General features: G+C 42.5%; 1 annotated feature.

Annotated features, from left to right (window-relative positions):
• Window positions 6620-6669: an enhancer, noted in NCBI's record as "active region_4418". NCBI's record gives its function as "activates an Ori minimal core promoter by ATAC-STARR-seq in GM12878 lymphoblastoid cells {active_cell/tissue: GM12878}" and the evidence as "EXISTENCE:reporter gene assay evidence [ECO:0000049][PMID:35858748]".

Here is a 12532-nt window from a genome sequence, read left to right as displayed (position 1 = left end):
AACCTAATATCATAAAAATAACCAGTAGAAAAAGACAGACTACTTACAGAAGAATAACAAACCACTGCAAGCTACTCTTCAACAATAGATGCCCAAAGACAAAGAAATAGCTTTTAAATTACTGATGGAAAATAATTGTCAAACTGAAATTCTACCCAGCTAAACTAGCATTAAAGAAGGAGAGGCAAATACAGATAATTTCCAACATACAAACCACCCAGTTTCTTCCTGAAATAATGATTAAAAATATTTGTCAGCACAAAGAAAATTGAACCCCAAATACCTGAAGTAATAGCACAAATAGGTATTCATACGGATAAGTCTAAGTAAGTATTGGCTTCTTAAAAAAAGAAGACCAACTCAAAGTGGCTGGTTAAAAATAAGATAGATCTGGAAAACCCAAAATAATCAAATAAATAGTTATTATAAATAATAAGAAAAATAGATGAGAAACTTTAATAAAAATAACTACAGGGAAATTATTAGTCTCCAAATATATCAAAAATAAGCAGCTGAAAGATAAAATGGAAGCAAACACCGTTTACAATAGCAACAAAGACAATAAAATACCTGAGAATAAACATAGCAAAAATGTGCAAAAAAGAAAACTTTCCATCTCTACTGGAGGACACGAAAGAGTAACTGAATAATTAGAAAGGCACACCATGTTCTTGATAGGAATACACACTTCATAAAGACTGATCAATCTGGCCAATTTAGTCCATCAATTAAACATCATCCTATTAAAAACACCAATAAATTTTTTGAGGCAGATAAGCTGATTTTAAAGTTCATATGAAAGAAATAAACAAGCAGAAATAGCCAGAAAATTTCCGATGAAGAAGAAAAAAAAAAAAAAAAGGAGAAACAAGCCCTACCAAATAGCAAAATATAGAGCTATAATTATTTTAAAAAGAGAGTATTTGTGCATTAATAAATGTATCAGTGAACAGAATAAAAAGTCTAGAAAAAACTCAAGTATATACAGGAATTTAATATGTGCTAATGGTGGCATTTCAAAACAGGATATGATTGATTATTCAATAAGTAATTTTGGATAACTGAGTAGTGATCTGAAACATAATAAAGTTGGATTTCAATCCAACTTATTCTAATCCATATCTTATATTAAGTTACTTCTATAATTTAGCAAAAAATTTAGTGAAAAAAATGGCCCATAAAAATGCTAAAAGAAAACATGGAAAAAAATTTTTTAAATAATTTTAGAGTTTCAGAGTAGTTTCTTCTAAGCACAACACAAAACTCAGAAGATATTTTTAAAATTTGATACATTCAATTACATGAAAATAAAAGCATTTCTACATGGCAATTAAAAAAACTATAGGCTGGGCACGGTGGCTCATGCCTGTAATCCCAGCACTTTGGGAGACCAAAATAAGAGGATTGCTTGAGCCCAGGAGTTGGAGACCAACCAGGGCAACATAGCAAGACCCCATCTCTATTTTTTTTTTATTTAAAAATTTAAATAAAAGTAAAATGCTTTAAACCTATAAGACAAAGTTTAATAATTGGGGAAATGATTTGCAAATCATGTAATAGATAAAGAGCTCATTTTTTTTTGATATGCAAAGTGCTCTTGCAAATCAGTAGAAAAATACCGGCCCAGGGACAGTGGCTCACGCCTGTAATCCCAGCACTTTTGGAGGCCAAGGCAAGCAGACCATTTGAGGTCAGAATTTTGTGACCAGCCTGGCCAACATGGTGAAAACCCGTCTCTACTAAAAATACAAAAATTAGCTGTTGTGGTGGCAGGCACCTGTAGTCCCAGCTACTCAGGTGTCTGAGGCAGGAGAATCGCTTGAACCCAGGAGGCAGAGGTTGCAGTGAGCCAAGATTGCGCCACTGCACTCCAGCCTGGGTGACAGAGCAAGACTCAGTCTCAAAAAGAAAAAACAAAACAAACAAACAACAACAGAAAGCAACAACAAACAGAAAAAGAAAAGAAAAATACCAACAGTTAAAAAGAAAAAAAAGACAAAGCTGTAGACAGATCATAAAAAGGAAATACAGGCCGGGTGCAGTGGCTCATGCCTGTAATCCCAGCACTTTGGGAGGCTGAGGCGGGTGAATCACCTGAGATCAGGAGTTCAAGACCAGCCTGGCCAACATGGCGAAACCTCGTCTCTACTAAAAATACAAAAATTAGTCGGGTGTGGTGGCACGTGCCTGTAATCCCAGCTACTCGGGAGGCTGAGGAAGGGGAATTGCTTAAACCCAGGAGGCAAAGGTTGCAGTAAGCTGAGATCATGCCACTGCACCCCAGCTTGGGCAACAAAGTGAGATTCTGTCTCAAAGAAAAAAAAAAAAAGGAAATACAACTGGATCCTAAAAACAAAAAATATAGTTACCCTAAGACATGTCTTATCCCCAGTCAGAACATCAAGCTCATGGTTCTGCTTTTCAATTCTGACTCCAACCCTGACAAGGCCAAACAAGTTGAACTGATGAGAGACTATTGCATTAAGTATCCTAAAGCTGACATGCAGATTTTGCCTGCGTCTGAAGAGTTTTCAAGAGCTCCAGCCCTGGAAGTAGGATCTTCCCAGTTTAATAATGAATCTTTGCTCTTCTCCGGTGATGTCCTCGTGTTTACTACAGAATTCCTTTAGTGATGTCAAGCAAATACAGTTCTGCACCAACAAATACCTTTTCCAATCATCTTCAGCTAGTGTGACCCAAAGATTGTTTATAATGGGAAAGTTCCAAAAACAAAAACAAAACAACTTTTTTTTTTCCAAGACAGAGTCTCACTTTTGTCGCCCAGGCTGGAGTGTAGTGGCGTGATCTCAGCTCGCTGCAACCTCCATCTGCCGGGTTTAAGCGATTCTCCTGCCTCAGCCTCCAGAGTAGCTGGGATTACAGGTGTGCACCACCACACCCAGCTAATTTTTGTATTTTTAGTAGAGACAGGGTTTCACCATCTTGGCCAGGCTGGTCTCGAACTCCTGACTTCGTGATCTGCCTTCCTCAGCCTCCCAAAATGCTGGGACTACAGGTGTGAGCCACCATGCCAAGCCAAAAACAATTGTTTTTTTTTTTTTTTTGAGATGGAGTTTCACTCTGTCTCCCAGGCTGGAGTGCAATGGTGCGATCTCGGCTTACTGCAACCTCTGCCTCCCGGGTTCAAGCAATTCTCCTGCCTCAGCCTCCCAAGTAGCTGGGATTACAGGTGCCCGCCAGCATGTCTGGCTAATTTTTTGTATTTTTAGTAGAAACAGGGTTTTGCCATGTTGGCCAGGCTGGTCTTGAACTCCTGACCTCAGGTGATCTACCCACCTCGGCCTCCCAAAGTGCTGGGATTAGAGGCGTGAGCCACCGCACTCAGCAAGGTCTGCCATTTCTTGAGTACCTGTTACTTATTATTATTCATGTCTATCAGGAGTATGTTTAGTATGTTTTATTTGCAGTAAATCGATCTCCAACGATTTCCTTTGAAAATGCTTTTTCCCCTCCTTAACTTTTACATTGCTTCCGTTTTACTAAATATTAAGTGTTCTTTGACAATTTTGGTGCTCACGTCTTTTGGAAACAAAAGTGAAGTGAATCTGTCATTATACCAGAAAGTTTGCTTGTTGTCTCAGATCAAATGTGCCTGAATAAATTTTTTTTTCATTTAGATTTCAAACAGTGATAGACTTGCATTTGAATATACATCATTGGAGATCTGCTTATTTGTAAATAGCCTGTTGCTCATTTGGAAAAATAAACCAGTGAACAATATATTCCTATTGTACTTTTCAGAACCATTTTGTGTCATTATTCCTGTTGTAGCTGAACAATTGTATTACACTTGGAGAGTAAAAGACTTGAACACAAAAAAAAATAATAATGGCTCCCAATTTATAAATGATATTACCATGTGTTGGGAAAGACTGAAAGAGGAGGAAGTTTGGAGGAAGAAATCAAGAGTTTTATTTTGAACATGTTAAGTTTAAGATATTTATTAAACATGCAACTGGAATTGTGAAGTTTGTATGTAGACTGAGTCTGGAACTCAGATAGGATATTTAATCTGGAGATAAAAATTTGGGAGTTATCAGAATATAAACAGTATTTAAAACTATGGGATTGAGGATCTCGTCAAGGGAAGGGTATAGATAGAGGTGTAGAATTTCCATATTAGTTTTTCAGTTTTTTAATTTTTTATTTTTAAAAGCTTTTTGGAGAGACAGGGCCTCACTATGTTGCCTATTCTGCTCTTGAACTCCTGGCCTCAAGTGATCCTCCCGCCTTGGCCTCTAGAGGTGCTGGGATTAGAAGTGTGAGCCACTGCGCTGGCCAGAACTTCTACATGTGGAATTCAAGGAGAGGAGGAGGAGCTGTAAAGGACAACGAGAATGAGTTTCAGGAGAGTGTGCGGTCAAGCAGAGAGTGACGTTTTAAGAACAGTGTGGTCAGTTATATCAAAAGCTGACAATACACCAAGTAAGATTAAGACAAAGAAACGTCCATTGGATCTGGCATCCTAAAGATCACCAGTGACCTTAACCGTGGTGGTTTCTGTAGGGGGGTAGGGGACAGAAACCAAGTATGAGGTGGTTGAAGTCAACACAAGGAAGTGAGCTTGTCTCCAAAACCCCCTTTGCTTCAAACACCCAGGCATGATATTTAAAATATAAAAATGATTTTTTCCAAAAAGACACAGTTGCACTCTTATATATCTCCATGATATGTAATCCAAGATATATATATATCTTATGTATCTCCATGAACCAGAAATAGAATGGAAACACGTTAAGCTAAGTATTTCCTTAGGCTGAAGTCTCAAGCTTGTGGGGCTCTAAGTCTGGAAGTTGGACACTAGCAGCTGGATGGGGGTTTAGCAGGGGAGTAGGGGGCTAAAGCACTCCCCACAAGGTGGGAGACGGAGGCTTCCAGCTTGATACCAGAGGCTGAAGTGAGCTCCATCGCTTGTGAAAAGAAGATGAAGATAATAGCAGTTAACCTATGGACTGAGACTTTATTAGAGACTAGAGAGATGAGGAGCAAAGAGAACACCTCATTACCAGAAATTGTCAAGCTGTCTGCTGGACCCATAACTAATATCTAGGGATATTAGTTATCCCTAATATGCCACATCCCTAATATCTAGGGATAGAAAAATCATAATCCTAAGCTTTGACTCTAGTTTGAGGCCCAGAGGGCCAGCTGGAGCCCTCCTGGAAAGGAATGAGGGGAGAGTAAGAGAGAGAGAAATCAAACAAAAATGAATACTTTCTCACGCTAAAAGACCTTTCAACCATAATTACAAAACAGAAAGATAGCCTTTGAAATTAACAATCAGACCAGAAATTTTCTCAAATTTCCTTTGGATTTTAAAAATGTTCAGAGATGAATGCATAACTTTCATTTCAAAATGAAATTATTCAGCAAAAATAGGCAGAAATGAAACAGTATGAGAGAGAACCAACTGGAAATCCTTGAAATAAAAAAAATACACTAATTGAAATTTTAAAGGTCATAAGTGGGAGAAACTCTAGATTGAACACACTCAAACAGTAAATTAGGGAATTGGAAGACAAAACTGAGGACTCATTCAGAATATAGCACAAGATAAACAAAAAACAGCAACTAAAAACATGGAGAACAGATTACAAGATTCAAATATTTATAAAATAATAAGTGTTCCAGAGAAAGATAATTAGATGGAAAAAGCAATATTTGATGAGAAAACTACTGAGTTTTTTCCCCCAGAATTGAAGAAAATGCCCTATAAATGGAAGAAATTTACACCCAGCCAAATTACCATTCAAGAGTGTTGGGGGTAGGAAAAAAAAGATTCCGCATATAAAAACTAAAAGATTCTTAACACTTACAGGCACCTTATGAAATAAACGACATATATATATCACTCACACACATGCGCGCACACACACACACACACACACACACACACACACGTTTTTTGAGACAGGGTCTTTCTCTGCCTCCCAGGCTGGAGTGCAATGGTGTGATCTCAACTCACTGCGACCTCCGCCTCTTGGGCTCAAGCGATTCTCATGCTTCAGCCTCCCAAGTAGCTGGGATTATAGGCGGGTGCCACTGCCGCCGGCTAATTTTTGTGTTTTTAGTAGAGATAGGTTTCACCATGTTGGCCAGGTTTCCCAACATATATTTAAAGTCTGGGCGCAGTGGCTCATGTCTGTAATCCCAGCACTTTGGGTGGCTGAAGCAGGAGGATCGTTTGAACCCAAGAGTTCGAGATCAGCCTGGGCAACATAATGAGATCCGCCCCCCCCCCCCCCAATCTCTACAAAAAATATCAAAATCAGCCGGGCATGGTGGTATATGCCTGTGGTTAAAAAAACAAACAAACAAAACTGAAAGATACTCTCAAAATGTAAGAGAGGACCTATTACTCCTTTGCTCAGAATCCTCTAGTGCTTCTCATGTGACTCCGAGTAAATGCTAAAATCTTTACAACAGCCTACAAGGTCCCAGGGGGTGGCAAACTAAGGCCGGCCAGCAAAATCCTTGTATGGCAAGAGGGAAGAGAGGGCTTTCACACTTTTTTCAAAAAGAGAAAGAATATGCGATACAGACCACATGTGGCTTGCAAAGCTAAAAATACTTACTATCTAGCACTTTACAGAAAAGCTTGCTGACCTCTGCCCCCAACAACTCGGCCCCTTTGTGATGCAGGGTTCATCCCCTAGCCTGACTCCTTCTTTCTGCTCACAGAGCTCCAGGCAGACTGGCCTCCTTCTCATTCCTTGCAGTTTCTTGCAGTTTTTCCAACCAGCCAGGCACGCTTCCGCCCGGAAATCATGGAGGACAGGAAAAGCATGAGGAAAAGGAGGACAGGAAAGGCATGAGGGGGCTGTTCAATAGTGATAAAGTCGTGGGTCAATGTCTTGAAATGTAATAAGGTCAAATAATTGTAGCACGGTGATTCATTTTCTATTGCTGCCAGTTTCTCGCAGTTATTCCAAAGAGCAGGCACGCTTCTGCCCTGCCATTTTCTGCCATTTTCTCTGCTGGGAATGAATGTTCTCCCCGCAGATAGCTGCACAGCTAATTCCTTCTCCCTTGGGTCCTCACTTAAAAGCACCTTCTCAATGAAGCCTTACCTCACCATGCTAATTAAGGATCATTATCCCTCTGCCTACACTCCTAACTCACTCTGCTTTCTTTGTTTCATAGCACATATCACTAACATACATGTTTTAATTTTTATTGCTGTTGTTTTTTTTTCTATATATTTCCTACTAGAATATAAACTGTTCCTGGTGCATAGTGGCTGCTCAATATGTATTTCTTGAATGCCCGTATGGGTCATGAAAGCCATCACATCCCTCTGTTTTCTATACGGCACTTGTCACTAGCTGTAAATGCCGTATTTAGGGATTTTGTCCACAAACTTCATGAAAGGGGGGATCACAGGATGACAGTCAACATATATCAAGTATCCAGTGTAATATTGATTCAATGACTACACATTCCATACATCTTTCAAAAGAGTGAATGGGAAGGGAGGAGATAGACACACAGTGAGCCAACAACTTTTTCAATAATGTTTGCTGTGAATGGGGGCAAAGAAATTGGATGGTGGCTGGAAGAGGACATGGGGCCAAGAAGGTGCTGAAGATGGGGATCCAGCAAGTAATTCCGATGGACACATATGCTAATATCATAGGAAAGAGGAGGTAATTAAAGAAGCAGGGTTCTTGGAGAGGTGAGAGCAATAGGGTGCAGGGACAGGAGGAGAGAGTGGCCGATAGTGGGCAGAGATCTGTCCTTCCACTGTAACAAGAGGGAAGAAGGAACAGTCTCAGGCAGGGTTGCAGCCTCGTGGGAGGGAAGATGAGGGAGTTCCCATCTTCTGGCCTCTGGTTCCTCACTGAAGTGTGGGAGGTAATATTATCTGCTGAAACTGAGGAGTGGAAGTACATGGGAGGTTTCAGAAGAGAGGACAGACAATGTATAAGAAACACAAAGGAACTTTATTAGGGAAATGGAAAAGGACAGGCAGCTTGGCAGTTATTAAGGGTTATTTAGGGGCTCTAACATGAATTTAAATGAAAGCAGTAGGCTCGATTTGGTGATTTTTTTTCTTGAGCAACACCAGACTCCTTGGTTACCGGTGCGAAGAAGACTGTCAGGTGCGATCAGGGTGATTGTAGCAAAGCAGTGGTTCTCAATGTGTGGTCCCTGGACCAGCAGTATCAGAATCATTGAAAACTGGTGAAAAATGCACATTCTCAGACCCCACCCAAAACTCCTGCATCAGTAACTGCGGAGGCGAGGCCCAGTAGAATGTGCTTCAACAAGCTCTCCAGGCGATTCTGATGGCGTGCCAAGTCTGAGCAGCACAGTAATAAAGGGAGAGAAGAACAAGAGAGCTGAGGATGCTTATGTGAGGTGATTAAAATGGCAGGCTACAGAATCTAAATTGGAAAAGGAAGACAGGAAAGACATGAGGGGGCTGTTCAATAGTGATAAAGTCGTGGGTCAATGTCTTGGAATGTAATAAGGTCAAATAATTGTAGCATGGTGTATTCATTTTCTATTGCAGCCGGAATAAAATACCAGACTTAGTGCCTTAAAACAATAGCCATTTATTATGCCATAGTTCTGGAGGTAAGAAGTCCAGGTACAGCATGTCTCAGCTGGCTCCTGTTTAGAGTCTCATAAAGGCTCAAATTAATGTGTTGGTGGGACTGCATTCTTCTGGAGATTCTAGGGATAAATCTGCTTCCAAGCTCATTCTGGTTATTGGCTGCATTCAGTTTCTTGCAGTTGAAGAAATGAGGTTCCCATTTTGTTTCTGGCTGTCAGCCAGGAGCTTCTATCAGCTTCTTAAAACCACCTGCATCCCTTGTCAACTTGCCTCCTCCATCTTTCAACCAGCAACAGCACTGGAGTCCTTCTAATTATTTTTATTTTTATTTTTTTGTAGAGATGGGGCCTTGCTATATTGCCCAGGCTGGTCTCAAACTCCTGGCCCCAAGCCATCCTCCCACCTCAGCCTCCCAAAGTGCTGGGATTCCAGGCAGGCATGAACCATTGCACCCAGCCTGGAGTCCTTCTTTCACCTCAGGTCTCTTCTGACTTCCCTTCCAGCCACATCTCTTCTGCTTTTCTCTTTTGTTGCATCTGTCTGACTCCAGCCAGAGAAAGTTCTCTGCTTTTAAGAACTTTGGTGATTAGATTGGACACACTTGGATAAGCTAGGCTAATCTACCTATTTTAAGGTCTATAACCTTAATTATATCTACAAAGTTCATTTTGCCACACAAGGTTATATGTTCACAGGTTCCTGAGATTAGGATGTGAACATCTTGGGAGACCTTTATTCTGCCTCCCACAACATGAAGTGACTAGAACAAATGAGATAAAGAAGCGGAAGGTGCAGAATTTAGAGGTGGGGAAGATTCTGGTGGTAAGGTTCAGGGTGTATCCACAGGAGTGAGAGGAGTAGAGGGAATGTCATTGGTGGCTAGAAGGCCAAAGAATTGAGAGGCCTGGGTGTTGGGAGGTCACCCACCTGGATGGTGGAGTCATCGATGATAATTACGCAGCAGGGATGGAGGGAAAGGCTATGAAGCAGGAGGAGCTCAAGTTCTCATCAAAAGGCTTTAGTCTCACTGACCATCGGAATTACGTGGGAGCTTCATAAACATGCATGTGTTGGAGCCCCACTCCTGCAATCCTGAATCATAATCATGATTATGATTAGTCTGAAGCATCACGCTTCTGATGATAATGAGATTAGGAGCTACAACTGCAGGCAAGCAGAAGCTGCAGAAGCCTTTGGTTGGGAAGTCAGTGATTATAACTATGCTTTGAGATATTGGTCTCTGGGATATCAAGGTTTATGCAAGAATGAACAGTTTGAGGGGAACTTTGACTTCCATAGACATTTTTCTTAATTTTAAAAAATTGTTTTCAATTTTTAATAAAAATTATATTTAGTAGAAACCAGGTCTTGCTGTATTACCCAGGCTGGTCTTGAACTCCTGGGCTCAAGAAATCCTCCTGCCTCAGCCTCCCAAAGTGTTAGGATTACAGGCATGAGCCACCATGCCAGCCCATAGGTACTTTTGCATAAAATTGACCTAAGGATGCACCTTCAGTGTCTACCATCATGCCTGTTGTCCTTTCCCATTGAGAGGTGACAGCGTGCTGGCAGTCCTCAGAGCCCTCGCTTGCTCTCGGCACCTCCCCTGCCTGGGCTCCCACTTTGGTGGCATTTGAGGAGCCCTTCAGTCCCCCACTGCACTGTGGGAGCCCCTTTCTGGCCTGGCCAAGGCCGGAGCCCACTCCCTCAGCTTGCAGGGAGGTGTGGAGGGAGAGGCATGAGCGGGAACCGGGGCTGTGTGCGGCACTTGCGGGCCAGCTGGAGTTCCGGGTGTGCGTGGGCTTGGTGGGCCCCGCACTCGGAGCAGCCAGGCAGCCCTGCTGGCTCTGGGCAAAATGGGAGACTTAGCACCCGGGCCAATGGCTGCAGAGGGTGTACTGAGTCCCCCAGCAGTGCTGGCCCACCGGCGCTGCACTCGATTTCTCGCCGGGCCTTGGCTGCCTTCCCACGGGGCAGGGCTCGGGACCTGCAGCCCACCATGCCTAAGCCTCCCACCCACTCCATGGGCTCCTGTGTGGCCGGAGCCTCCCCGACGAGCGCCACCCTCTGCTCCACGGCGCCCAGTCCCATCGACCACCCAAGGGCTGAGGAATGCGAGCACACGGCGCAGGACTGGCAGGCAGCTCCACCTGCAGCCCCGGTGCGGGATCCACTAGGTGAAGCCAGCTGGGCTCCTGAGTCTGGTGGGGACGTGGAGAGTCTTTATATCTAGCTCAGGAATTGTAAATACACCAATCAGCACCCTGTGTTTAGCTCAAGGTTTGTGAGTGCACCAATCGACAGTCTGTATCTAGCCACTCTGGTGAGGACGTGGAGAACCTTTATGTCTAGCTCAAGGATTGTAAATACACCAATCGGTACTCTGTATCTAGCTCAAGGTTTGTAAACACACCAATCAGCACCCTGTGTTTAGCTCAAGGTTTGTGAATGCACCAATTGACACTCTGTATCTAGCTGCTCTGGTGGGGCCTTGGAGAACCTGCGTGTGGAAACTCTGTATCTAACTAATCTGATGGGGACGTGGAGAACCTTTGTATCTAGCTCCGGGATTTTAAACGCACCAATCAGCACCCTGACAAAACAGGCCACTTGGCTCTACCAATCAGCAGGATGTGGGTGGGGCCAGATAAGAGAATAAAAACAGGCTGCCCGAGCCAGCATTGGCAACCTGCTGGGGTCTGCTTCCACGCTGTGGAAGCTTTGTTCTTTCGCTCTTTGCAATAAATCTTGCTACTGCTCACTCTTTGGGTCCACACTGCTTTTATGAGCTGTAACACTCACCGTGAAGATCTGCAGCTTCACTCCTGAGCCCAGGGAGACCAGGAGCCCACCGGGATGAACGAACAACTCCAGACGCGCTGCCTTAAGAGCTGTAACACTCACGGCGAAGGTCTGCAGCTTCACTCCTGAGCCAGCGAGACCACGAACCCACCAGAAGGAAGAAACTCCGAACACATCTGAACATCAGAAGGGACAGACTCCAGACACGCCACCTTAAGAGCTGTAACACTCACCGCGAGGGTCCACGGCTTCATTCTTGAAGTCAGTGAGACCAAGAACCCACCAATTCCGGACCCACCATCTCCCCTTTCACAATCTCCCTTTCTCTTTGCAAAAGAAAGGTACATCTCTTACCCATCCTGAATCTTATATTGCAAATTGGTCCAGGATATTAAAAATTCATCTCTTTAAACAGGACACCTATAGGAGGCTTCAAGTCTTTCCCTGTCTTATACATATTTCTGTTAAGTTTGAAGCACCACAGTGGAAACAGTGTAACTTAGCACATGTTGAGATGTTAGAGATATTGACCAAGGAATAACAAGCTTTATTCCTTCTCCCATCTCTAGACTGCTGTGAAAGAATGCTTTGCTTCCAAAACAGAATCCTATGAGGGCAAATGAGGGCAAAAGAAATAGAAGTTCAGTAGGAAATACCAAACACGGCAGCACCTTCTGTCATCCCAGCACAAACTCAGGGCCTTGCTCTCTGCCTTGGATAGTTATTCAATTTAGAACTAGAATTCAGACAAGAGATAAGGAAACACACATTTTATTGAAATTGAAAACTGAAGCCTAATTGGCTATTAATTTGATAATAAGACTGGTTTTGTCAATTTGGTTATATGACACATATTTTCCTAAGTTGAATGAGTTGCTTCTGTAGCTCTAAGGTTCCGACAAACTATAAAGCCCATAGTAAGATAAAACATTTTATTTTTAAATAATTATATTTGGTCCAGGCATGGTGGCTCACACCTGTAATCCTAGCACTTTGGGAGGCCTAGACGAATGGATTGCTTAAGTCCAGGAGTTCAAGATCAGCCTGGACAACATGGCGAAACCTGGTCTCTAAAACAAACAAACAAACAAAAAATTATATTGGCAAGGCATACTAAAGTTAATATTTTTATGTCTCCAATTCTTTCTC

Source organism: Homo sapiens, chromosome 11 (genome assembly GCF_000001405.40).
Source record: "Homo sapiens chromosome 11, GRCh38.p14 Primary Assembly".
Classification (NCBI taxonomy): Eukaryota; Metazoa; Chordata; class Mammalia; order Primates; family Hominidae; genus Homo; species Homo sapiens.
This window is presented reverse-complemented; position numbering and strand designations above follow the sequence as displayed.